The 27,839-nt window shown below is 42.8% G+C and overlaps 1 protein-coding gene across 3 annotated transcripts in view, besides 1 other annotated feature; it reads left to right on the forward strand.

Annotated features, from left to right (window-relative positions):
• The window catches only part of TBL1Y (transducin beta like 1 Y-linked), a 180,987-nt gene that overhangs the window by 128,271 nt on the left and 24,877 nt on the right, over positions 1-27,839 (forward strand). For all 3 annotated transcript variants that reach the window (NM_033284.2, NM_134259.2, NM_134258.2), the window contains 2 exons: positions 4,013-4,158; positions 24,930-25,182. In NM_033284.2, coding sequence (NP_150600.1) covers positions 4,013-4,158; positions 24,930-25,182 — 399 coding nt within the window. The remainder of the gene's footprint in view (positions 1-4,012; positions 4,159-24,929; positions 25,183-27,839) is intronic.
• Positions 24,448-25,647: an enhancer, noted in NCBI's record as "P300/CBP strongly-dependent group 1 enhancer chrY:6931456-6932655 (GRCh37/hg19 assembly coordinates)". NCBI's record gives its function as "activates an origin of replication core promoter dependent on BRD2, BRD4, P300/CBP, MED14 and CDK7 cofactors, with strong dependence on P300/CBP, by STARR-seq in HCT116 cells {active_cell/tissue: HCT116}" and the evidence as "EXISTENCE:reporter gene assay evidence [ECO:0000049][PMID:35650434]".

The raw sequence follows: 27,839 nt of genomic DNA on the forward strand, positions 1-27,839 counted from the left end.
GTTCAGAGTTGCAGAAAAGCTGAGGAGGCACAAGGCACCAAAGTCTCACCACTCTGGCAGACTGCAAATTAATGTGTTCATTAATTCTGGACCCTAAGTTGGAGGGGTGAGATGCTGGCAGGAGTGCAGGCAGGGCTGGCCCTGGAAGAGAAGCATCTTCTGTGGAGGTGCTGTGTCTTCCAAGTGCCTTCCACAGCACCCTGGCACTTGGCCTCAGCAACCATAGCCTAAGATGCTGATGAATCAGGCCTAAGAGGAAGTGGTCAGGCCTCCTCTATTACCTAGTCCTTGGGCATTGTCTCAGTTTGTTTGGGCTGTAACCAACACCTTAGACTGGGTAATTCATATGCAACAGAAATGTACTGCCCACAGTTCTGGAGGCATCCATGATCAAGGTGCCAGAGATTTGCTTTCTGATGAGGTCCTGTTCCTCAGGGATGGCTCCTTCTGTGTCTTCACATGGTGGAATGTGCAGGGGAGCTTGCCTGAACCTCTTTTATATGGGCACTGATCCCATTCATGAGAGTGAAGCCCTCATGCCTTAATCACTGCCTGAAGTCCCCACCTCTTAATACCATCACTCTAGAGATTTGTCTAGCACATACAAATCTGAAAGGAAAACAAACATCCAGAACATGGCAGGCATTATGCTGTCCCTAAATGAATATCAGAACTAGAAAATATCCTAGTGGCCATTTCATTTGACATCCTCATTGTACCAACAAGGAAACCTGGGAAAGTGACATTTCTACTTGCTACGGTCTTCTCTCTTGATTGACCCTGTCTGGGGAATGGCTCCTGTCCCTTGTGTGTGCCTCATCAGCACCTCGAGGTACTTTTTATCTCCACATTGCAGAGGAGAAAATGCAGATGCAGCCAAATGAGGCAATGTGGACCAGGCACCCAGTGGTAGAGCAAGGACAGAACCCAGCCATCCTGCCTGCTTCTGACATTTTCTCCATTCCACTCGCCTGCTTACCTTCACAAGATCACAAGGCCAAAAATCAATAAGAAAGTCTTAAAAGCAAATGGACTGAAAAAACCACTGATTTAGAGCCCATATAGAGATGCATTCCAAGAAATACAACTAGTAAAGATTTCAGCAGATAAGAGGACTTCTGATAACAGTACGTCCCCTAGGTGTTTATGAAAGTGCCTATTTCCAGTCATGACAACCTGCCCTTTCCAAAAGAGGACCCAAGCTGATGAAAGATGTTCAAGGTAACAGTACTCCTGTATAACTTTATGCTGCGCATTTGTCATTGTGTATCTGCACAAGAAATTCCTTCCAGCAGACAACTTTCAGCTCTCTTTGCAGAAGTCTCAGACTACCCACCCTTGGTCCGTCTTTGCTGGTTCATCTCCTTGTTCCAATAAGCTTTAGTTGAATGTGAATACCGTTGTCCACACAGTCTAGAAATGAAACTTGCATTGGAGAGCATAGTTATGTAGAGAATTAAAGGTATGCAGCCAAACCATGTACTCAACATTAAAAATCCAGATGAGACAGAAATCAGGGGCACACTCTGCCTTGGGTTAGAGTGAGCATTGCACACCATTCTTTACTAGTTGCCTGAGTTGCACCCAGGCTGACTGCTGTTCAGAGCTGCCAGTACTCTAGCTGGACAGCCAGATGGCAATGGAGTCTGTGTCCATGCAGGGAATTCAAGAATTTTTGTTCCTCTGCCTGTGGGTCTTGAAGTGAAAGGTAAAAAGTGTAATCTCGGAGTCACATAGCCTATGGTTCACATTTTGTTTCATCTTCTTATCACATGAACCTTGACCTGATGTTTCCAGTGTTTGTCGTTCTATGTGAAAGAAAAACAGTACCAACACCCAACAGCTACTGCAAAGACTGAGATAGTTTACAGAGTACTCAGGTTTGGTTGAAGATGGTAATGTGGTCAGAATCGGCTCTGTTTCACAGGGCATGTGACTGCAGGTGTCAGTTCTGTGGCCCAGTGTGGTTGCAAGAATGCATGAGTGAGACTGGATGAATAAAATATGCGAGAAGCATGAGACTTTTCTTCCACAGTTGATTTGTCAGCCATGAGGTTTGTTTTTCAGGAGCCGTAATCAGCACCTAATGCTGTATTCTTCTGAATTCAGTAGATGTTTCTTGATGCTGTTTCATGATGGCTAAGAGTGTTTACTGGCTACCCTGGCTTGGATCTCAGGCCCACCCCTACAAACTGAGCAATGGGAGGCTGTCAGTTATCTTCAAAAGATCTCAGACACCTGATTTATCAAGGGGAAAGGGGCAGTGATAGAATGGTGCAGAGAGGCTTAAACCCATTGAGTAGGAGCCACTTGAGTGGCCCCCCATCAGCCATGAGAGTCATGATGTCTATGAGAGAGGAATCACTGTGGCCCAGAGTAGATAAGGAAGATTTCATGCAATGGAGTCTTGAGCCAAGAATGCAGTGAGGTCCTGCTTCATCCATTGACTGGGGGTTTTTCTATTCCACACTTTGCCAAAGACCTCAATGATAAAAGCTTGCAGGTGAAACATGGTATAGCATGGCGGGGAGTAGAGTCATTGGTGAATACAAGGGTGGGTTGCTTCATTTGGTAGGAATGGGTAGATGAAAAGGAAGGTGAATATACAGAGAGAAACAAGTAAGAAGGTTAGGTTCTTGTAAAGAAACTTGGCTTATGTCCTTCAAAAACACAGTGAGGAATTTCAGTGCACCCCCAGACCACCTCTGCACCAGGCAAAGTGACCCAGCCCTGCCAGCTAGGGTTGCCTGTATTAGGAAACTCCCTGCAGCACCCTAGACTTGCCGGCAGTAGGATGCCACCTCCCTCTCTTTGATGAAGGGCTGTCACAGCTTCCCCATCGCCCCTAGACTTCCACAGATGCTCAGTGGCCTTGGCTTCTTTCTTTGAAGCAGGTATCATCCACAAGAGCAAGGCATGGCTTTCTGTATATTCAGTACTGACCCCCCGCCCCCCAACAGCTTCATCAAGAGCCTTTATTCAAAGCTGATCTGAAAACACCTTTAAATTGCCAAGCGTCATTGATCAGCAGCTTCCTACAGTGGCAGTGAAAGAGATGATGCACTGGGGGAGAAAAGGAAAAGAGCCAGTATCTATTAGAAAAGATAAAATTCCCAGTATTCTGAGAAAATGATTCAGTGCCACACCAATCAGTGCACAACGGGCTTGTTTCTGTCTTTGGACTTTGGGTTGTAATGCAATTGCCCCCAGTGCACTTGGGTTCAGTGTTTGCTGTTCCCTCATCTTGGGCTGAAGAAAGGTGCCCTGTGTGCTTGCAGGGGGTGACACAGAGAAGCTTCAGCATGACCTTCTGCAAAGTCATGTGAACCATGGAGTCGGGGGATCCTGGAGTCAAATTTCTTTAACAGGAATGTCCAACTGGGGCACGCAGAGCAAACTCTTTATTGTCTGTTCTCTGCTTTATTCCTTTTTTTTTTTTTTTTGAGATGAAATCTCACTCTGTCACCCAGGCTGGAGTGCAGTGGTACAATTTTGGCTCACTGCAACCTCCGTTTCCCAGGTTCAAGCAATTCTGCTGCCTCGGCCTCCTGAGTAGCTGGGACTACAGGTGTGCACCACCACGTCCAGCTAATTTTTGTATTTTTAGTAGAGACAGGATTTCACCATATTGGCCAGGCTGGTCTCCAACTCCTCACCTCAGGTGATCCACCTGCCTCGATGTGCTAAAATGCTAGGATTACAGATGTGAACCGCCATGCCTGCCCTGGTCTCTGCTTTATTCTTAACAATACTGAAGTGGTTCTACCATTAAAGGCCCTTGTTCTAAGATACCAATTTTGGTCTTCCTGAATCTGAAACCTCTCCCTCTCCCCTTGCCCTTTTCCACCTTACTGAGCCCAAATCAGAAGGGCCCCTGGGCATCCTACAGTGCTGTCTTAGCCCACAAATTAAATGTGTTTGAAATCTGCAGGCCACTTTCAGATCTCAATGGCTGCGCGTCCCTCCTTCAATTTGGGTCTCACTCAACGTCAGCTTTCCTCTCTTGCCGCAGGTTTTTCTCACTCGGCTTTCACGTTTGGGATCGAGAGCCACATCAGCCAGTCCAACATCAATGGGACACTAGTGCCACCGTCTGCCCTCATCTCCATTCTCCAGAAGGGACTGCAGTATGTAGAGGCTGAGATAAGCATCAACAAGGTATGTAGCTGCTGGGCCTGGCCCCCAAACAGCAGAGCCCTGGGAAGGTGCAAGAGGTTGGAACACATTAGAAGCTAAAATGCATTTCCCTCAGGCATTTGGGATTAATTCGGCGGCAGGGTGCAGTGGCTCATACCTGTAATCCCAGGACTTTGAGAGGCTGAGGCAGAAGGATCACTTGAGCCAGGAGTCTGAGACCAACTGGACAACCTGGCGAAACACCATTTCTACAGAAAAATTTAAAGATTAGCTGGGTGTGCTGGTACATACCTGTTGTCCCAGCTACTCAGGAATCTGAGCCGAGAGAATGATACTGCCTAAGCCCACAAGGTCAAGGCTGCAGTGAGCTGTGATCACCCGAGGGCACTCCAGCCTGGGCAACACTGTGAGACCATATATCTAAAATAAATAAATAAATAAATAAATAAATAAATAAATAAATAAATAACGGAAGAACACTCGTTTCCACCCCACTTTGTGTTAACACCTTATTGATGTGTTGTGTGTATACATAGTAACGAGTTTCCAGTGCCCCTCCCACATGGGTCTGTGTATTTTATTTAAACGTGGAATCACTGGCTGCTGAATGATGGAAACAATTACATTGCCACATCTGAAAATGATGCAGCAAACCCTCAACTGCTCTGGGCTTCAGAGTGGACTTTTGCCTTGCACATACTATGATTTGCTCTGTCTTCTTCATTTCTTGGAGTAGGTTGAAGCTGTGTTTCCTGGGAACCTGACAGAGGGCATCACCAGAGGCTACATCAGGGCAGAGAGGTGATAGCTCTTGTGTTAAAGAGAACCTCAAGGATCGCTGTAGAGCTGATGGGGTGGGAGGATGGAATCATAAACCCACATTAAAATTTTGCACTTGGCTGGTATCCCATCCCGCTTTTTAGATTGTACCACAATAAGCTATTGTGCCAGTTTTATACAAATTTTGGTTTTAAACAACACCCCTTTCCCTGTCTTGCCCCATTCTGCTGTAGTCTCAGGAATCTATAGTGAAGATCTTCTCAACTTCTGGGAACTTCTGGAATCCACTCTCTTTCTTGCCACCTTCACCTGTGTCTGTTTTATTTTTAAATTAAATTAATGTTTTTTGAGGCAGGGTCTTCCTCTGCAACCAGGCTTGACTGCAGAGGCACTATCACAGTTCACTGCAGTCTCAACCTCCAAAGCTCAAATGATCCTCCCACCTCAGCCTCCATAGTGCTGGGGCCACAGGCATGCGCCACTATGCCTGCAGTCCGTGTTATTGATTCCTCAGTCCCCAGCTCCATTTTTCTCCTACGCTGACCCAGATGCATGATTCTGCCTAACTTCTCTGTTTTCTACCTGGCAGTTGGATTTTTCCAGGATTCCCTCTATCCTGTCTTTCTGGGAACCGGTCTCACCCTTAAAAACCTTTCTCCTTTGCAGCATGTTATGTTGCTTTCTTTTCATGATTTAAAAACCTCTTTTAGAAAAATCACAAAGTAATATATCCTGTTCTCTTTTCTTCTTTCCTTTTTTTGTGGGGGGCGGGTGTGGGGTGGACAGGGTCTCACTCAGTCACCCAAACTGGAGTGCAGTGGCACAATCATAACTCACCACAGCCTCCGCCTCCTGGGGTCACATGATCCTCCTGCTTCAGCCTCTCAATTAGCTGGGACTACAGGTGCATGCCAGCACACCCAGCTAATTTTTGTATTTTTTGTGGTGAAGGCATTTTGCCATGTTGCCCACACTGGTCTGAAATTGCTGGGTTCAGCTGATCCGCCAACCTCTGTCCCCCAAAGTGCTGGGACTACAGATATGAGCCCCTGTACCTAGCTCATTTGTTTCTTACATTTTTGCCTGCCATTTTGCACAAAGCCATAGCTGTAAAAACTCTGGTGTCTGTGCTCTCTCATGCTCTTTCTTCCCTGGCAACCCGTCCATCTCTTTCCCTTCTTCATATTGGATTCCTGGGATCTTCAAGTTACCCTGCGCAGCACCAACCAGTGTCCTTATCCTAGTGTTACCAGTGGAAGGTGTCCAGGTTCTTGGTGTCTTGAACAAAGAATTGGACAAAACACACAAATAATCAAGGATGGAACAAAGGGATTTATTGAAAATGGAAGTACACTCCACAGTCGGGGAGCCCAAGCCCAAGCATTCGGGCCCAAGGATCCCATTACAGAATTTTTGGGAGTTTAAATACTCTCTAGAGGATACATTGGTTCCTTGGTGTACACCCTATGTAAATGGAGAGGGTGAAGTAAAGTTACAAAGTCACTTACTCGGCATATGCTCTATTGAGAGGATATTTCCTGTCATAGTTGAAGTGCGAATCGACCTTATGTTCCCTGCCTCCAGATCCTATTTCCCTGCCTCATTCCCCCCTAAGAAATGTGATCCTTATAAATATTTATGTGAGGCAGAGGGACCAATGGTCTTTTTTCTGTAACTGCTTCATGCTGGCTTGTGCCGTAGTTCTGAGCTATTGGGGATCATGGAACTCTCACCCTGCTGTGTCTAGTGGAGGCAGGATAGCTCCTTAATGGCCAGGGGTGCTGTCTTCACCTGGAAGTGGAGGGAACTGTTGTTGCATGATCATCTGAAGCTTGATGGTCTCCAGGAGAGAGGAAATGCATTTGGTTAAAAGATATAATGGGAACTTCAGGGGGTGGATACTTATGCTGTCAGGAATGTTTGTTATAGAGATTTGCAGGAGGAAAGCAAAAACTGGCTTGTGGTGTGTTCTGGGATCTATGTGTTTCCTTAAAGTCTTAGCACAAATGACTGCATTTTGGTTCGGTTTTGTCTGTTGGGGCCTATTGCACAAGCTTAGTCCAAAACAATGATCTCCCAGAATTTTGTTTTAAAAATTCCCTTTTTTGATCAGGTTCTCACTTAGGTAAAAGTGTGACCAAAACCTGGGGCTCTATCACCACTCTTATTTACCATAATTTTGGATTTCCAGTCTCAGCACATTATTCATAGGTTATACTGTCCTCATGGTGGCACCTTTCTTTCAGTTCTTGTCATTCCAGTTGAAGAGAGACCATTTGACATTCTAGAGATGGCTACAGGAAAGCATTTAAAGCCTTTGAGAGAACACAGCACATCAGGGAGACTATTATTATGACTATTGGGAGTATAATACCAAGACGTTGGAGTATGTTCTTTACATAAGGTCCCCATAAGCCAAACCTCCTAAAATCAAGTAGATCAAAGAATGAGCTAAATAGTCAATTCATTTTCTAAGCAGTCCGTTCATCAATCTCCTACCACTGAATCTGTATACTCTTCATTTGATGTATTTCTCCATAGGCCGCAAGTGCCAGGAGCTGCACACGTAATTCTTTGTGCAGCCAATTCTATTATTTAGCATAACTTTCACAGGAGGATTTAAAGTCTCTTGTGTAACTGTAGACTTTACCATAGAATGTGCCATAGAGCCTATTATGGGAAACACATTTTTAGTCATTGGTGTTTTACTTTAACCCCCTGAAAAAGGACCTAACAAATGATTCCCTTCTAGAAGAGTTGAAGGCCTCCTGGCAGTGTTCTCTTTAAGCCATGAGGTACATTAAGAGAAGTGAACCAATGTTTTGTTTTTGACTGATTACAAGGCAAAGTATGTACCATTAAAGTTTCTTACCTGCATTAGGCCTTTATCCTTTATCTATCAAAGATAAACATCCATATATAAGGCTGGCTACAAACTCCTTCAAAAATAAATGTATGTCCTGTAAGTGCACATAAGAGACTCCTTTTCCATTCCAGTTGTTCATAGAGGCATAAGCAAAAGAAAATATTCAAAGATAAGAGTTTCTTGATAGTAGAAGTCTTAATCTGTGAACTTGGGAAAAGCTGTTCACATCAAGGATGCCATCTCTTTCCTGAGAGAAATTTCCCTGGTTAGTTTTACCTTAAGAGTTCCAACAGGTGTGCAGTTCCAAGAGCATGGAGGGACGCTTCTCAGTTGCAAGACCATAAGCCCAAAGCCCGAGGTCCCAAACACAACAGTGTAAAAGTGTTCTTTAAGTTTTAGGGTACATGTGCACAATGTACATTGTAGTGTGGATGGCAAAAGCAGTCTTTCTTTGATGTTCTCAGAAGATCCAAATCATAAAAAGCTTTCTTTACCTGCTGAAAATACTCCGTAGCATAATAATTTGCTGTTATAACATCAGCCCTCCTGCAGGGGAAAACTTCTTTTCAACCAGAACATGCATTGAAAATAACAATTAAATGAAATTCCTTTATAACATGGCCCACCAGCTGACCAAATGTACCTGAAGAATTTGTAAGTTACCACACCAATGTATTCAATTTGGGTTATTTTATCTTTTCCATGCTGAGTCATGGCATGCAGAACTTTTAGTAATAAGAGCTTTAAGGACTCAGGAGGGACAAGGTGGGCATCCTCCTGGTTCTCCGTGAGTCCATGCCTAATTAACATTAGATGTATCCTCTTGAATATCACGTTTTTCCAAATTAGGTGTATAGCACTGATTAATGGGTTATCATAGGTAATGTGACTGAGAATGTGGAATTTATTCGAATTGCGTATTTAAAAAATTTCAGTATCAGCTGCTTTAACATGAAAATCCAACAAAGTATTTTCCTGATATTTGATTTTTGTTTGTTTGTTTCATTTTTTTTTTTTTTTTTTTTTTGAGATGGAGTCTTGCTCTGTGGCCCAGGCTGGAGTGCAGTGGTGCGATCTCGGCTCACTGCAAGCTCGGCCTCCTGGGTTCACGCCATTCTCCTGCCTCAGCCTCCCGAGTAGCTGGGACTACAGGTGTCCACCACCATGCCAGGCTAATTTTTTTGTATATTAGTAGAGACGGGGTTTCACCGTGTTAGCCAGGATGGTCTGGATCTCCTGAGCTTGTGATCCACCCACCTTGGCTTCCCAAAGTGCTGGGATTACAGGTGTGAGCCACTGCCCCCGGCCGATATTTGATTAATTTTTTTGTTCTGCTTCGGTTAGCAGCTTTATACAAGGAAATTTGGTTATTTCTGTGGTTTACAACAACAACATAATAAACATAGTTAGACATTAAAATTTTACAAACGCAGTACAATTTTGGAACATATATTAGTGTTATTCACAAAAATATAACCTAAAAAAGACTGAACATCATTTTTGCAGTCCTGTGTATCTAAACGTCAAATAATCCTGTTTACCTCTTTTCTGGATGTTTTCAGGGGCCCTGTGATCCATCCAAAAAGCCAGGCATTAGGAAAGACATTGAAACTGAAGTTAGATTTTTGAATTTCAGATTACCATAAATTATGTATTTTGCCAAAATCATGACTCGGAAATTTTAAAGAAGTGAAAACCTTTCATATAACCTTTTATTTTAAAAAAAAATTATACTGTTCTTACACACCTTGCATGTAAAACTGTTTCTAGCAGTCTTAATTGCATGTTACAATGTTGATTCTTAGCAATTTAATTTTAACATAAAACCTGTTATGTTAATTATGTGCTAGGTGTTGATAAGATCTGATTGTTTCCAGCATAGCTAGGGGTGTGGCCAACTCCACATGTCCCCAGGACTTACCTAGCTGGAAAGCAGGCAAGTTAAACAATTCTCAAAAGACAAAGAAGCAGCTTATAAACTTAAAGCATTTAGCAAACCTAATATTTGGACATAATTTAGACCATATATTTATTTACATTTTGAAGAGAATTGTATTTTACCAATAACTTTTAAAATTGTCTTTATTTCCCAAAGATTACTCAAGTCATATGAACTAAGTAAAAGGCATTACATTTTTTTTTTTATCATACTTTAAGTTCTAGGGTACATGTGCACAACGTGCAGGTTTGTTGCATATGTATACATGTACCATGCTGGTGTGCTGCACCCATTAACTCGTCATTTACATTAGGTATTTCTCTTAATGCTTTCCCTCCCCGCTCCCCCACCCCACAACAGGCCCTGGTGTGTGATGTTCCCCACCCAGTGTCCAAGTGTTCTCATTGTTCAGTTCTCACCTATGAGTGAGAACATGCGGTGTTTGGTTTTCTGTCCTTGTGATAGTTTGCTCAGAATGATGGTTTCCAATTTCATCCCTGTCCCTACAAAGGACATGAACTCATCCTTTTTTATGGCTGCATAGTATTCCATGGTGTATATATGCCACATTTTCTTAATCCATTCTATCATTGATAGACATTTGGGTTGGTTCCAGGTCTTTGCTATTGTAAATAGTACCGCAATAAACATACATGTGCATGTGTCTTTATACTAGCATGATATATAATCCTTTCTGAATATACCCAGTAATGGGATCACTGGGTCAAATGGTGTTTCTAGTTCTAGATTGCCACACCGTCTTCCACAATGATTGAACTAGTTTACAGTCCTACCAACAGTATAAAAGTGTTCCTGTTTCTCCACATCCTCTCCAGCACCTGTTGTTTCCTGACTTTTTAATGATCGCCATTCTAACTGGTGTGAGATGCTATCTCATAGTGGTTTTGATTTGCATTTCTCTGATGATCAGTGATGATGAGCATTTTTTGATGTGTCTGTTGGCTGCGTAAATGTCTTTTGAAAAGTGTCTGTTCATATCATTTGCCCACTTCTTGATTGGGTTGTTTTTATTTTTTCTTGTACATTTGTTTAAGTTCTTTGTAGATTTTGGATGTTAGCCCTTTGTCATACGGGTAAATTGTAAACCCATTCTGTAGGTTGCCTGTACACTCTGATGGTAGTTTCTTTTGCTATGCAGAAGCCCTTTAGTTTAATTAGATCCCTTTTGTCTATTTTGGCTTTTGTTGCCATTTCTTTTGGTGTTTTAGACATGAAGTCCTTGCCCAAGGCATTGCACTTTTTACTTTTCAGACGAAATATTTGATTTAAGCTTTTTATTATTATTAAATCAATTAATTAAACTCTTTTGCATTGATTAAAACTTCCAGAGAAGATAAACAGTGACTTTTGCCTTTCATTTAACCAGTTACCACAGAGACCAGAGACTCACTGGTAAGAAATTCTTACCCTTTTGCCGGCATGGCAGGTTTCTGGTCAGCTCTAGTGACCCTGCTTGACTGTATGCAAACAAATACAATGCCATGAATCCAGAATATTCCAAATAGGCCAGCGTGGTGGCTCACGCCTATAATTCCAGCACTTTGGGAGCTGGAGGCAGGTGGATCACTTGAGGTCTGGAGTTCGAGACCAGCCTGGCCAACATGGTGAAACTTCATCTCTACTAAAAATAAAAAATTAGCTGCACATGATGGCGCATGCCTATAATCCCAGCTACTTGGGAGGCTGAGGCAGGAGAATCGCTTGAACCCAGGAGGCAGAGGTTGCAGTGAGTTGAGATTGCACCACTACACTCAGCCTGGGCAAAATGCAAGAGACTCTGTCTCAAAAAAAAAAAAAAAAAAAAAAAAAAAAAAAGAATATTCCCAAATAGTTTAAAAATTTTCAAGAAATTAGGCAGAGAGAGAGAGAAATATAACTTATATTCTATTGATGAGAGTATTCTCAACACACTTAAAGTATCAGGAGGCCTAAAATCCAAAAAGTTAGTTTAAGAATCGAAAGCTGGTGTGCTCCATTAATTTCTGCAGGCCCAATAAAGGTAGCTTGGAAATTCAAGGTAAATGGAACAAATGATGACTTGCTAGAAATACATAGGAAACAAAATATTCGCGGAACGAAAAAGAAGCTTTCCAATAGGAACTAAAAGACATCATGGATACACACACACACACACACACACACACACACACACACAATGTACATATACACATACACTCAAGCAAAGCCTGTGGAGAATAGACAGCAAGTGAATGAAAACTAGAAGCAAAAACAAACAGCAGACCAAACCTAAATGTTCCTACTCAATTTACCTGGGAGGCTACAGTGTTACCTAGGCTTTTAAAAAACCCGCATATTGAATATTTTATTCTTGACACACAATTTAATATCTTCAAGCTCACCAATATCATTATGCATCCTGTGCAACTGAGAAATTCGCTTTAGGTACATGACCAGTAATCAAGACTAAAAGCTTTAATTATGAAAGTATTAATTAGCCAAATGTCTCTAAGAATGTCTTAAATAATATTTTATTATTTAAACCTTTTCCAGCCAGGTGTGGTGGCTCATGCCTCTAATCCCAACACTTGGGGAGGCTGAGGCAGGTGGATTACCTGAAGTCAGGAGTTCTAGACTAGCCTGGCCAACATGGTGAAACCCTGTCTCTACCAAAAATACAAAAAATTAGCCAGGCAGGGTGGCAGGCACCTGTAATCCTAGCTACTCAAGAGGCTGAGGCAGGAAAATTGCTTGAACCTGGCAGGCAGAGGTTACAGTGAGCCGAGACTGCACCATTGCATACCAGCCTGGGCAACAAGAGCGAAATTCCATCTCAAAAAAACCCCAAAATACCCAACCTTTTCCACATTTTTATCCCTTTGTAAATGATTACTTACTACATTGTTTCATAATTAACCTTTTCAAATGTGTAATTTGAACTTAACTTTTAGATAAGTTCTGAATTAGACAAAAGTATTGTTTTTTCCACTAGTAACATAACCCTTTCTGGCACATTTTCTATACAGAATTACATGTTACCTAGAGTTTTTATCCTTAGTAACCTAAAACTTTAGTGAAATCCTAAAAAGCAAGAAATCCTGAACTATCACTTGCAAGCATTTATAGATAAGAACAATTCCACAATTTTAGAAACATGTTTCCCTATTTTACGACCCTGTCTTAATTGGAAATAACTCGGATATTAAAGGATCATCAAAAATAACTTTTAAAATTTTAATTTACATTAAAAGTTTACCTAAAACAATTATCCTATTCACTGTACTTAATTTTTAGTTTAACAAGGGAGACATCAGACATTAATCAACATATGTAAAATGAACATGGGTTTGGTCCACAAAGGCAGGATGACACCTTGAAGCAGGGAGAGGGCTTCAGTCTTCCAGGTCACAGGTAGCAAAGACAGACATAAAATTTGGACAAAATATATGCTGACAATTCTGAGGGCATTTCTCTTTTTGTTCCACCAATGATTGTAAAACTAGCTTGTTTAGTAAAGTTACAGTTAAGTCACATGAACTTAAAAATTGCCTAGACTTATTTACTTAATTTATGAGTGCTCTTTTATAAGTCAGTTTGGTAGACACAACATATAACAATAAGTCTACATACAAATAAACACATCTAGACATGGATACACATACATAAACAATGATCCAATCCCTTAGAACCTTGGCCATGAGATAGCAATAGAAGCTTGCCATTGTTACTTTGCCCCAATAGATGTTTGCAATGCTTGTTCCCCAGTGCCATAAAGAAATAGCACATAAACATAAATTTAATTTCCTCAGCAAGGCCATTTTTTTACTTTCTGCAGAAAGGGTAGACTTGCCAGCAGTTTTGCCATGAGAGTACACTGAACAAAGGAGACAGGGTTATTTATAACCTGACGCATCCACCTTAACTGCCATGTCCGGTTTCCACTGGCTGGAATGGGACCTCACATTCTATATTTGTCCCTATTGGCTAGCAACTTAGAACTTTTTAATAGAGGCAAAGGTAGAGGAGAACAAAGGAAGCAAGAAGTAACTTGTGGAATGATGAGAAAGGTAAAAAGACGTTTAAATAAGGAAGAGGAACATGCTATGACCTAATGCTTGCTTGGACCAGCATAAGCATGCCAGGGCAAATATTTAGGCTAAATTCTGGGAGCTAAGAACATAAAGTACATTGATTTCTTTATTAGGACTAGCAGATATTTAAGAATGTTAGCACAGGTCTTTGAATAAATTTTGCTTCTAAGAGAAGTTACTATTAATTCCTAATTAGATGGGGAGGAAAGTTTTTGAAGAGGAGCCTCTGCTTTACTTTTTACATAGATAATCCAGTGAAGGCTGTGCATCAAAATTTCTGGTAAAGCAGTCTCTGTGGCAGTTTGATTTTTAAAGTCCAAACCTCCCAGATTCCAAAGAGCACTGGGGCCAAAGTATATGAAAGGAGGCATCACATGTTAACCAAGCCCCCTGCTAACAACAGCAGCACAAAAGCCTGGATACATACGCCATCCCGTTTTCCCATTTGACACCAAACTTCAGATTCTGAACAGTTTTCTAAACAAGCAGCATTGCAACTGTGAGAGAAAATTCTAAGAAGAGCTTATGACTAGACCTCAGAACCTCTGCCAAGAGTGTCCCCTTTGAGCAGGTTAAGGTCTGCAGGATCCCCTGGAGTGTCTTCCTGTGGGGCCCAATCTTAAGAGTGTCAGATGTCTCTGACCTTAGGTGGGCACCAGTGCCTGCTTTCCCTCCAGAGCCTACTATGAGCATTTGTTTGGTACCTAGGTGTAATCCCCACCTTTTAGCATACTTAGCACACTTTCCCATGCTTGCCATTCCATGAACTTTAATGATAAGAACTGGAGGTTGGGTGGGTTTCTTTTGCCCTTAGCCAGTTTAATAGGGGAAGAAAATAATTTAGCATAAGAAAAGAAGCTTTAAGTTACCAGAAACATATGCAAGTTCTCTCTGAGCCATGCCGAAGGTAGGGATCAGGACCACATCCAGAAAATATTTTTTTAAAAAAGTCCATCTCCCTTCTGGGCAGGGCAGTTATAACTTCCCATTCATTCCTAGGCCTTCAGGCAGTAGCAGGGAGTGGCCCCAGCCAATCGCCCTCAATCTTCAAGGAGCTACTAAAAAACAGCCACTGAAAGACTGAAAAGGAAAGGGGAAAAAAAACAAAAAAGACCCTGGTCTCTTAAGCAAACCAGCAGTGGCAGTCAGGCTTCTCCACATGGAAACCCATTAGTTTCACTGGCAGAGCCAGAAACCTGCAGTTGCTTCCATGTTTAGGCACTGCTGCCCAAGGGTCCGGAGTTGGAAGGGAAAAGAGAGGGAGAAAGATTCTCTTGTACGGAGCAGAAAGGAGAAGGAGAAACATAAATCTCAAACTTTGGGGCTACCTTCTCCTGGAGTTTCTCCTGGCTGGCTCACCAAAATATATTATTGATGGGTGTGTCCAAGTTCTTGGCATATTGAAGAAAAAAATTGGACAAGATGCACAAACAAAGCAAGGAAGGATTTGAGAGACAGGACTAGCTGGATTTCCTAGACCAACTAAGAATTCCTCAGCCTAGCTGGGAAGGTGACTGCATTCACCTTTAAGCGGCTTGCAACTTAGATCATACCCGACCAGTCAGATAGTAAAGAGTGCTCACTAAAATGCTAATTAGGCTAAAACAGGAGGTAAAGAAATAGTCAATCATCTATTACCTGAGAGCACAGGGGGAGGGGCAGTGGTCAGGATATAAACCCAGGCATTCCAGCCAGCAATGGCTACGCTCTTTGGGTCCCCTCCTTTTGTATGAGAGCTCTCTTTCCACTCTATTTCACTCTATTAAATCTTGCAAGTGCACTCTTCTGGTCCGTGTTATGGCTTGAGCTGAGCTTTCACTCGCAGTCCACCACTGCTGTTTGCTACAGTCGCAGACCTACCGCTGACTTCCATCCCTCCAGATCTGGCAGGGTGTCTGCTGTGCTTCTGATTCAGTGAGGTGCCCATTGCTACTCCTGATCAGGCTAAAGGCTTGCCATTGTTCCTGCACGGCTAAGTGCCTGGGTTCATCCTAATCGAGCTGAACACTAGTCACTAGGTTCCATGGTTCTCTTCTGTGACCCACGGCTTCTAATAGAGCTATAACACTCACTGCATGGCCCAAGATTCCATTCCTTGGAATCTGTGAGGCCAAGAACCCCAGGTCAGGGAACACGAGGCTTGCCACCATCTTGGAAGTGGCCCACTGCTATTTTGGAAGCGGCCTGCCACCATCTTGGGAGCTCTGGGAGCAAGGACGCCCCCCCAGGTAACAGAATAAAGGGATATATTGAAAATGAAATTACACTCCACAGTTTAGGAGAGGCCCTGAAAGCACAGGGGCTCAAGGGCCCCATTACAGAATTTTTGAAAGTTTAAATACCCCCAGAGGATTCCACTGGTGTGTACCATGTGTAAATGGAGATGAAGAAGTAAAGTTACAAGTCATTTACTCAGTATATGCGCTATGGAGAGGAAATTTCCTGTCATAGCTGAAGTGTGAATAAGCCTTATGTTCTCTGCATGCACACCCTATTTTCCTGCCTCACTAGGAGGACACGTGCTTGAGGCCAGCAAGATCTCAGGTCTCAGGGTGCTGTGACTCCATTTTCCTCTGCTCATTGCCTTCTGCCTTTCCCCTGTTGAGAAACCTTCATAGCTTCCATTCCTTGGCACTCCAGATGCCAGGACACTGAGGACCAATAAAACACCATCTCATTTATCTCAGTGGTTTCTAGTCATTAAAGTCAGGCCAGGGGAGGTGACTCAAATTTATAATCCCCACATTTTAGGAGGCCAAGGTGGGAGGATCGCTTCAGGCCAGGAGTTTGAGGTTGTAGTGAGCTGTGATCACACCACTGCACAGCAACTTGGTTGATAGAAGAAGACCCTGTCTCTAAAGAAAGAGAGAGAGTGCGCTCTTGGAGTTTAAAAAAGAGTACGTGTTTTTACCGTCTTAGACAGTTACTGCATTTTGTGATGTGCTTGTTTATTTGGGTGTGCACATATGAAGGAGGAGCAGGGTATGAAAGTGTCTTGACCAGTCACCATTGCCTACTCCATGGCCAGAATCAGGAGCCAAGGTTGCCTGAGGTGATGCGGCTAGTTGTTTACATGGGTTGTATTGCTTTCCTTATTTCAAATAGTGTCTTGTAATCAGAAATCTTCTGGGATGGTGTTTCATTTAGTTATTCTTCAACTGAAACACGAGCCTTTCAATTCTTCCTTGTTTCTGAGGTTGTTCAAGTTCGGGGAGTATAAAAACGTCTTTGCATGTGCACCAGACACTACCCCAAGGCATATTCAGTTTCATGTGATTTTAGTATTTGGCATGCTGCACAAGGAAGGAACTTCCTCCTGTATATTTAAATGTGTGTGGAAAGTTTTCTCTGGTAGATGGAAATCAAAGAATCAAAGAATGTTAAAAACAAAAAACAAAAAACGTGAATCAGAATGAAATGATGTTGTTAATTATGTCAAGGCTCTAGTTAGTCTAACCCTGAACCCAACGAGTCATTTGAAGTAGCAGCAAGTGCCTATTTTATTAAATCTCATGAACAGATGGACTTCCAATCCAGGCCTGAATGGTGTGGGCTTCTGAAGCATTACCCTCCCGTATAATGGGTGGACATTTGCAGAGATTTTGCACAGTCAGGAAGCACCCGGACAGGGCTTCTCCACCCCAGCACTCAGTATTTGGGGCTGGTTGAGTCTTTGTAGTGGGGCTGCCCTGGGCACTGTAGGGTGTTCAGTAGCATCCCCAGGCTCCACCCACCAGATGTCAGGAGCATTCCTCCTCCTCAGTTGTTACAACCAAAACTATCTCCAGACATTGCCTATTACCCCCAAGGAGGCATAGTCACCCCTCACTGAGAATCACTGCATCAGGGATACCACAGTTTGTCCAGAATAAATGGCCTTTTTGTCCTGAATGCCCCAACTGGGTTTGACATTCCGAACAGTGGTCACACCTAGTTCTTAACAGTTTGCCATGTTCCCTTCCCCTTTCCCACCATGGAATCATTCACCCCACGCTCCTGGGCTCTGGGTTGTTATGAATAAAGTTTCAGTGCTTCCAAAGAAATAGCACTCAAATATAAAATTTTCTTTTAATTCTCAGCAAGACAAGTTATTTCTATAGAAAGGTGTGCCCTTACACCCAAATTACATCCAAATTACAGATGGAGCAATGGTGAGTGCACACCCGAGGCAGGGGAAGGGGGTTTTATCCCTGACTCACGTGGCCCCTCCTGCTGTGTCGTTCCTCTATTGGCTAGGGTTAGACCACACAGGTTAAACTAATTCCAATTGGCTAGTTTAAAGAGAATGACGGGGTGAGTGGTTTGGCTGAGAAAATGATTATGACAGAGCAGGTAATCAGGATGAGTCAGGGTGGAGCAGGTAATCAGAATGAGTCAGGGTGGAGCAGGTAATTGGATTGAGTCAGGGTGGAGCAGGTAATCAGAATGAGGGTGGAGCAGGTAATTCAAACGAGTCAGGGTGGAGCAGGTAATTGAAAAAGATTGCTTTATGAGGAAGTTAAGTTTAAAAGTAGAAGGTAAAGAATTGAACCTACTGACATGTTGATTCTTTGAAAAGAAATTTAGAACTCATGTCTAACCACCCCTCCCCTTGTATTTCTTACAGCTCTTTCTTCTCTAACTTTTTTTTAAACATGTTTTGGCTTAGTTGTTTTGCTTAATTTTCCAAAAGAAGAAGCTTCTCTGGATAAGGTGGAGGATAGTTAAGGGAGGTTTTAGTAAGTGCTGGTTCTATGAGCCTCTGCACCAACCCATGGATGCATGGTATGACACAGCACCCAACAAGAATAAGTACACCCATTTCGGCTGTGAGGGAAGTAAGAATTGAGGCTGTCATTCCTTTCTACCAAACCACTTTTCTAACCATCCTGTAAATGGGTCATTTACCCCTGAGTTGCTGGCCAACTGATTGGATAGAGCAGTCACACACTGCAATGCCTTTGTTATACTTCCATCAGGGGTAGTGGTGTTTGGGATGAAGGTGCAACATTGAGTTTTAATCATGAAGCAAACTCCTCCGCTTTCTGCTAATATCATGTCTAAGGCTATCCTATTTTCCCAAGCCATCTGGCAAGCAGCCCCTAATTTCTCAGCTATTCCTTTAACAGCATCTCTAGTGTAGTTAATAAACTGCTGTTTGTTGTATAAATATAATTGATCTAATCTACATGCTTATTAATTGTCACCCACCAAAATATTGACAAAAATCCTGCAGCTATTTGATTGCGGGCTTTAAATTGACTGGTATTCCCTGTGGGACTCTAATTGTATCTAAAAAGATGTGAGAGTCAAAAGACCCTTAAGGGGCTTCTCTCACTTTATAGTGTCTTCTTTTTCCTTCCTCTGGTTGATGAAATGCCAGGGTGAAATGGATAGCCAATTGGACTAAAGCACAAGTGCCATTCCAGTTACTTAGCAGAGTATCCAGTAAAGGTCCACCACAATACCACCACACAAAAGGTCCACCACAATACCACCATACCTCCACTTGGGGATGAACAAGGGCTGACTGATTGGTAAACTCTTGAAAATTCTTAAGCTCACTGCATCCCTTCAGGTCTCCAAGGAATGCTAAGTTTTCTCCCTGTTTGAGAGACATGAAGTGAACTTAGTGTTGGGAAACGGAGGCTGGATGGCTCTCGGGCTGACCCTCAGGGTGCCAGGCTTTGGGATATAGCAAGACTGAGCTTGGCATGACGTGTTACCCCAGGCTGTAGAATCCTGGAAAAGAGCTACTATACAGACCATGCCTGGTTGACTGAAGGACCATCCTAGTGGAAAGGGGACAATCTGGGCCCCTGGCCTGCCATGCACACAAGCATAACATTTGCTTTTGTTTAATGTGTGGACAGAATATTTGATCCATTCCACCCAAACATTTGCATCTTGGCATCCTGTCTTAATTGCCAAAGTTTGTTTTAAGTCTTTACATTTTACAATAGCTATCTTGGTCTTGTCATTAGATGGAGGAGAAACAATTGTTCCATTGTGAGAGGTTTTGGAAGAAGGTTTAGAGGAAGTTGCAGGTGGTGGGGGATCAAAGAAACGCATTTCAAAGAATCTGACAGGGTTTGTCCTTGAAACCTCAGCCCCCATACCATAAGAAGGGAACCGGGCTTAGGAATGGGGAAGAACTTTGAGGGTTTGAGATAATAACCTGTATAGAATTACACTGATTTACCTGACAGTTAGCAGGGAGGGCTGTTCCTCTAGTAAAATGAATGTATGGTTTTAGGAAATTACAAAAACTGGTTGGGGCAGTCCATTTTTGCTCTTTAATGGTCCACAGATCATTGGACCAACTATGGCATAAAAGCTCTACATGGGGGAGCAAGACCCCTGGCTGACACTGAGGCCTTACTGAAATCTCTCTGGATTAAGTGGTCCCAATACACTAATGCTCGGTCTGAGGAGAGTCAGGAGGGACAGAGGTACTTTTCTGAAGTACAGAGCTGTCTTTGACTTGGCAAGTCCCCAGGGGTATAACAAGGCAAGCATTAAATGCAATAGTTTGAGGCGAAATTGACTAGGTTATGTTAATAACTAGGTCAGCAATAGAGCAAAGAAGAAAGAGAAATAGAATAGATGAAAGAGTTAAATTTTTCTTAGCTTTAGTTTGGTAGGGTTTTCCCCTGGGACTACACCCCACGACTCTGGAGGGGGTGGCGCTTTCTTGACTCGGGTGTGATGAATCCATCCCCTTCCACTGTATGAACAGGAGTCTCCATGGTTAGCAGCACAAAGTAGATTCCTTCCCAGGCTGGCTGGGGTTTTCCTTCTTTCCACCCTTTGATGAGAATGTGATCCTCAGGCTGGTGCTGGTTTACCAGAAATTCTAGGAGTGGTACCTGTGCTAAAAGACTTTAGTTTTCAGGGAAAGGAAAGTGGAAGATAAACTAAGTATGAAATTGACCTTTTGTTTTAAATGTGGGGACGTCAGCAGTGGGCTTTATAGTCCTTGGTGCCTTCTTACTGAGAAATTTCCTTTAGCACCTATTTTTATTAGTTTTTAGACCAAAGAAAGCCAAACACCATTTTATATTTGACAGTGCTTCCTGTATGGTTTTTATACCAGATAAGCTAAATTTCGCCTTTATATTAGGGTGTTATTAGTGTTAAACTTAGTTTTAATAAAACCTTGTAGGCATATTTATTCAATTTTTAATGTCTGACCATAAGGTAAGATTTTCATAGACTCTTCTTAACCTTTCATGATTTTTGTTAAAGAGCAGGTTAATGCTTTAAGAAAAACCTGTTGTGCTCTTATTTTAATGTCCAGTTCACAAAAAAACTGAATGATACCCCTTTAACTTTATCCAATATATTTACACACAGAATTTCCTTTACAATTAACGTTTCAAAACTTGCTTAAACTGTTAAAACAAAATATATATATTTTTACCCTTTTAATGTAGGTAAAAATCCACATTCTTATGCCTCCTTATAATCCTTTTACCAAAGGTATATTTTACTTTCCTTATACACTTTGCACATAAACTGTTTTTTCTGTAGTTCCACGTTTAGGAGTCCTATTTACTTTTAAATTATACAATATTTCTTGCATAAATTCCCTTTTATACCTTTTTTTTTTCCACGACTTTCACAGACAATTCTTTGACCTGCCTTAGCTTTCTGACTTGTTGCATCCATCCCTTTCTTTAAATAACTAGTTAATTTATTTTAGGACAAGAATTTACTATATAACATTCCTTTTTATATAAATTCTCCCCCTGCCTTTTTTTTTTTTTTCTCAACGTTGATAACCATTCTTTTCCAAGCAACTTGCTTCATGTCTGTGTTCTAGACTGCCTAAGGCCACAAGATTAGAAGTTAGGATAATACATGTTACACTGTTCACTTTTAGCAAATTTTACTTTTGTTGAAAACCGTGTAAGTTTGTGATTTCAATTATCCTTTGCTATTAATGAGATTGTTTAGTCCAAATTAACTTAGAATTGGTATAGATGGTTCCTTCCTGGTTCTGTAAGTACTTTAAGGCTTGTCTGAGAGCAAACAGATAACATGTTTGAGCAGACCAATTATTAGGCAATTTTCCTGACTCTGCTTTTACAAGAGTTTCCTTATCACTTACTGAATACCCATTATGTCTTTTTCCTTCTGTCACCCCGAAGGAACCATTTACTGTCCTGACCTGAAAGGAGTTCCACCTAGGTCTGGTTGGACCTTTCTATGGTAATTAATTAAGATTTAGATAACCTGTTAGGAAACCTGCTGGGTCAAGAGAATTATCAGTGGTTAATGTTAAATGATCTTTTTCTAACAGAATAGCCCCAAACTTTCAGATTTTTGAGTTAGTAAGCTACATTTTTGCTTTTTTTTTTTTTTTTTTTTTTTTTTGATTTAGGATAGTTCTGAACTGGTGAGGTGTACTTACAATGAGGTTTCCTCTAAAAGTATTTTTCTACTTTCTTCTGTTAGCAAAGCATTTGCCGCTACAGATTGAATGCATTTGGGCCATTCTGGGTTTACTGGGTTAAGGATTTTTGATTAGGAAGGCTACAGGTTTTCAGTGGCCTCAGTGCTTTAGGGCTACGCTCTTGTTTATACTGACAACAAGGTCGTGTTGGAATGTTACAGGGTCATGGAGAAGACCTTCATTATGATCAATTACAGGTTTTAAATTCACCCTGACTTTTAAAGGTATAGGGTACACTGTTTTCTCTTTACTACTTCTATCTCTCTCTTTTTCTTTTTCTTTGACTTCCTGTCTCTCTCTTTCTGTCTGTTTGACCCCTTCTTTGTGTCTCTGTCTCTTCCTCTCTCTTTCTCTCTCTCTCTCTCTGCTGTTGTTTCGCTTCCTCTACCAGCTGCTTATACCGCTGTTCTCCCCTCTCCTTCTCCTTCCCCTAGGGGAGGGACCAGCGGAAGTGGAGCTACTTATTCTTTCTTCCCCTGAAAGAAGAACACCCAAGATGGATATTAACATGACCTAAGTGTATAAATGAGGTTCTAAGAACTGTTCAATTTGGTCTGCCACTCCATAACGGTCATCTAGTAGCAGTTTAAGCCCCTTTTTAAAATTCTGGACTTACGAACTGGTTAGGGAGGCATTTACAAAGCCAATGCCTGCCCCCCCACCCCCTCCCCTGCCTTGTGGTACCTCTTTCAAAGGGAAGAGGGTCCAAGCTGACCTCTTAGGTACAGAGGGAAATGGAAAATTCTGAATATCTTTTTTACATTCATCTACCTCATGCTGGAGTCATTTTAGAGAGGGGTATTTAGGTTGGGAGAGAACAGGCTGGTGGAATGGTAATTCCTAAGAGTCAGGGTTATGAGGAGGAGGGCTCATGTGAGTAGAGGGGGAATTTGGAATGGGATCTGAGGTGGCCGTGGCTGTCTGAGGGGAAAGACTGGGGACACTGAATGGGGGAACATAGACTAGGGGATCCCATGTGCTGGAATCTTTAGGCATGAGAGCTGGCTCCTCTGATTTTTCATTTTGAGGTGCCAGATTAGGTTCTTCCCTACTTGTTATTAAGGGAAAAAGGAGGGCAAGTCCTTGCCTCCAACAAAGGGCGTAGCCTACTTCTTGAGACACTGGACTTTTAGCATTAACGTGTCAGATTAGAAGCTGACACATTACATCCTCGTTTGACCCAAACTTTTGCCAGAAAATTGAGGATTTGAGGATGGGTCCCTGAGTCTAAATAAAAGAGCACTATTTTATCATTTGTTGCTTTTTCCTATGTTTAGTCCTTTCATTATCCTTCCAGTGTTTTAGCATGAGACCTATGAAGGTATTGGGGGGATATCTTTGTTACCATCTTTATCCTCCCTGCTCCCTGTCTTGCTTGGGGTATTTCCCTTCTTGATGGTTTTGGGGTCAGGTTCAAGGTTCAATGTCCGTTACTGAAAAATTCTCACCTTTTGGGGTGAGGCTCAATTTCCGCTAGTGGAAATTTCTTGCCTTTTGGGTTGAGGCTTAATTTCCCCACTGGAAATTTCTTGTGTTTTGGGCTGAGGCTCAATTTCCCCACTGGAAATTTCTTGCCTTTTCTACTACTGGAAGTTTGTGTGAGGTTCAGTCCCCCACAGTGGGGATGTCTCACCTCTTTTTAACCTCTAAGCCGCCCCCGACCAAGGGGTACTTCACTGAACCCCCTGCGGCTTTCTCATCGTGGTCCCGACCACCAAGGAAATACTTTACCAGCTCCCCTGGCTTTTCTTTCCCTGGTCTGTGCACAGAGTAATCGCCACAGTATGTGAGGATCCTTTAAGGTAGGATGCTGGCAAGTTTTTAATTTTTTTTCCCGCGTGTTGCTGAGCGTTCAGGTTATTCCTCGCACAGGGTGGGTTCTGATTTTTCACCCCTGAGACCGCCACAAGGGGTGGGGCATGACTTCTCACCAGAGAGAGTCAGAGACAGTCCCCAGTGGGGAAATGTAATCCCGGACGAGCCCCGAAATTGTTATATATAAAGTTTTGGTGCCGCAAAAGAAATAGCATTCGAATATAAAATATTCTTTTTAATTCTCAGCAAGGCAAGTTACTTCTGTAGAAGGGTGACCCCTTACAGATGGAGCAATGGTGAGCGCACACTCGGACAAGGGAGGGGAAGGGTTCTTATCCCTGACGCACGTGACCCCTCCTGCTGTGTCGTTCCGCAATTGGCTAGGGTTAGACCACACAGGCTAAACTAATTCCGATTGGCTAATTTCAAGAGAGTGACAGGGTGATTGGTTTGGCACGAAAAATGGTTATGGCAGAGCAGAAAATCGGAATGAGTCAGGATGGAGTAGGTAATCGGAATGAGTCAGGATGGAGTAGGTAATCGGAATGAGTCAGGGTGGAGCAGGTAATCTGAATGAGTCAGGGTGGAGTAGGTAATTGGAATGAGTCAGGGTAGAGTAGGTAATTGAAAAAGGTTGCTTTGTGAGGAAGTTAAGTTTAAAAGTGAAGGTAAAAAATTGAACATACTGACATATTGATTCTTTGAAAAGAAATTTAGAACTCATATCTAACAGGGTCTATGCTACTTCCCCCGTGGCCCCCTGGCTGCTGGGAGCCAGCTATTTATGCTCCACTTCCCCGTGCCTCTCCTGCCCAGAGAGTAGAGACCATTCCCAGAGCCCTCACCCTTGTGAGCTGATGGCTGTCCCTTGGCTTGCTTCCCCAGGATGGCACAGTGTTCGACAGCCGCCCTATAGAGTCCCTGTCCCTGATAGTTGCTGTGATTCCTGATGTGGTGCAGATGCGGCAGCAGGCATTTGGAGAGAAGCTCACTCAGCAGCAAGCCAGTGCAGCAGCCACAGAGGCATCAGCAATGGCAAAGGCGGCAACCATGACCCCAGCTGCTATTTCCCAGCAAAATCCTCCAAAGAACCGAGAGGCCACAGTGAACGGGGAAGAGAATGGAGCACATGAAATCAGTGAGTGCGCAGGCTCTGGAAGTTTGGTGGGCCTCTCTGGGTTCATTGTTTTCTTTTAAATCTGGGTCAGTCTGAATGCCTTCTTAAAAACCTACCTGATATAAATGTCTTAGTAGCTGCTCTTTATTGTTTGCTTTCAATCTACCCAGAAGAGCTCCCGTTCCAGTTTTCCATCACAACCCTTCAACCAGACCTTCTTTACTCTCATCTTCAATTTCAGGAAATTGTGTGCACTGCCAGTCTGAGAACTCTCCTATAATACATGGTTATGGCCCATCATAAACAAAAGTGTTTAATTCATGGACAAATTTAGTCTCAGCCTCCAGCCCTCCATGTTGAGTGTTTTTGGCCAAATTGTGGTATAATCATTGAGTTCATGGTTCCTGCCGAGGGCACTGGGCCCCAAAAACTGAGCATCAGCTTATTTGGTCTTTGCAAAATCCCAGAACATCATTCCCTGTTAGGTAATTGCCAGCAAGTACATGGTAAGTCAGTGAGTCTGAATTTCTACCCAGAGAACCTGCCCCACTTGGACATACTACTGCTCTATAAACCCATAGAGAAGCCACTTCAGCATGTATGTAAGTTCAGAGCATGCAAATGTTCCATGAATGGTGCACTAGTGGGTGGGAGGGTGTGTATATACATGTGTGCACCAGTGAACAAATTCTTAAAGTGCCTCTCTGGCTGGAGAATCAGATCTAGCATTTAATGAAAGCTCTCCTAGACTATTAATGTCTCTTCTATTAAAATAGTGTGACATAAAGGTTGTCTGCTTTGGGTCAATGAAAAGATATTCTGGCTTTTTATTTATAAAGTCCATGATTGTGGGGCAGGAAAAGGAGAGTAAGAGAATACCCAGCTTGTACCTACAGGTCATTTATTAACTATGCAGTGACATGGGGCACAACCCTCAGATTCTCAAAATTGAGAAAATGGCTGAAGTTGTTTTCACAGTGGATATGATTGTTTGACTGCATCCCAACCCAAATCTCACCTTGAATTGGCTGCATCCCCACCCAAATCTCTAGTTCCCTTGTGTCAAGGGCAGGACCAGGTGTAGATAATTGAATCATGGGGGGTAGTTTCCCCACTACTATTCTGGTAGTAGCGAATAAGTCTCATGAGATCTTACGGTTTTATAAATGGGAGTTCCTCTGCACAAGCTGTTTTGCCTGCCACCATGTAAGGCATAACTTTGCTCTTCCTTTGCCTTCCGCCATGACTGTGAGGACTCCCCAGCCATGTGGAACCATGAGTCCATTAAACCTCTTTCCTTTATAAATTATCCAGTCTTGGCTATGTCTCTATTAGCAGTATGAGAACGGACAATTACAACAGTCTTACATCACAGAAAGTAATTTGTATTCATGAAGTTTCCGAAGTTGGCGTCTATGAAGGAAGAAATTTTCAATACAGCAAGGCAGCCTGTCCTCTCCACCACTGTTAAGTCTGAGGCCAGACCTGAAGTTCAGTTTTATTCTGTACCAATTTTTAAAAAAACAGAAACTCTAATGTGGAGTCCATGTTAACCCTGGCTGTGGACAGAGTAGAGACACCTACATGCCTTCAACCAAGTTGGCCAGTTGCAGGTAGATGGCTTTTGTTTCATTAGGACCTGCATGTGGTTCTTCACACTGACTATGCAGTGACATGGGGCACAACCCTCAGATTCTCAAAATTGAGAAAATGGCTGTAGTTGTTTTCACAGTGGATATGGTTGTTTGACTGCATCCCAACCCAAATCTCACCTTGAATTGGCTGCATCCCCACCCAGATCTCTAGTTCCCATGTGTCAAGGGCAGGACCAAGACTGGGTAATTTATAAAGGAAAGAGGTTTAATGGACTCGTGGTTCCACATGGCTGGGGAGTCCTCACAGTCATGGCAGAAGGTAAAGGAAGAGCAAAGGTATGCCTTACATGGTGGCAGGCAAGACAGCTTGTGCAGAGGAACTCCCATTTATAAATAGTCGGTGTGCCCACCACTGATGCTCCTCCTCCAATGGACACCTTCCTGAATGATAGACCTTCTGCTCTATTTCCTGGGCCTGGGGCTACCTGCAGTGTTTCCACTGTTCCATTGGCAGAGTGCCCTTGTATTGCAGCAAGGCAGCCTGTGCTCTCCACCACTGTTATGTCTCAGCAGTCTGAGGCCAGACCTGAAGTCCAGTTTTATTTTAATCCTCAAGAACTGTTTTTGTTGTTATTGTTGTTGTTGTTGTTGTTGTTGTTGTTGAGATGGAGACTTACTCTGTCACCCAGGCTGGAGTGCAGTGGTGTGATCTCTGCTCACTGCAGGCTCCACCTCTCAGGATTCAACAATTCTCCTGCCTCAGCCTCCCAGTAGCTGGGACTACAGGCACACACCACCACACCCAGCTAATTTTGTATTTTTAGTAGAGACAAGGTTTCACCATTTTGGTCAGGCTGGTTTTAAACTCCTGACCTCAGGTGATCTGCCTGTCTCAGCTTCCCAAAGTGCTGGAATTACCGGCGTCAGCCACCACGCCCGGCTAAGAACTGTTTTTTTTTTTTTTTGGCCAGATGCGGTGGCTCTTGCCTATAATCCCAGCACTTGGGAGGCCCAAGGAAGAAGACTGATTGAATCTAGGAGTTCAAGACCAGACTGGGAAAGAGAGAAAGACCTCGGCTTTAC

Source organism: Homo sapiens, chromosome Y (assembly GCF_000001405.40).
Source record: "Homo sapiens chromosome Y, GRCh38.p14 Primary Assembly".
Taxonomy (NCBI): domain Eukaryota; kingdom Metazoa; phylum Chordata; class Mammalia; order Primates; family Hominidae; genus Homo; species Homo sapiens.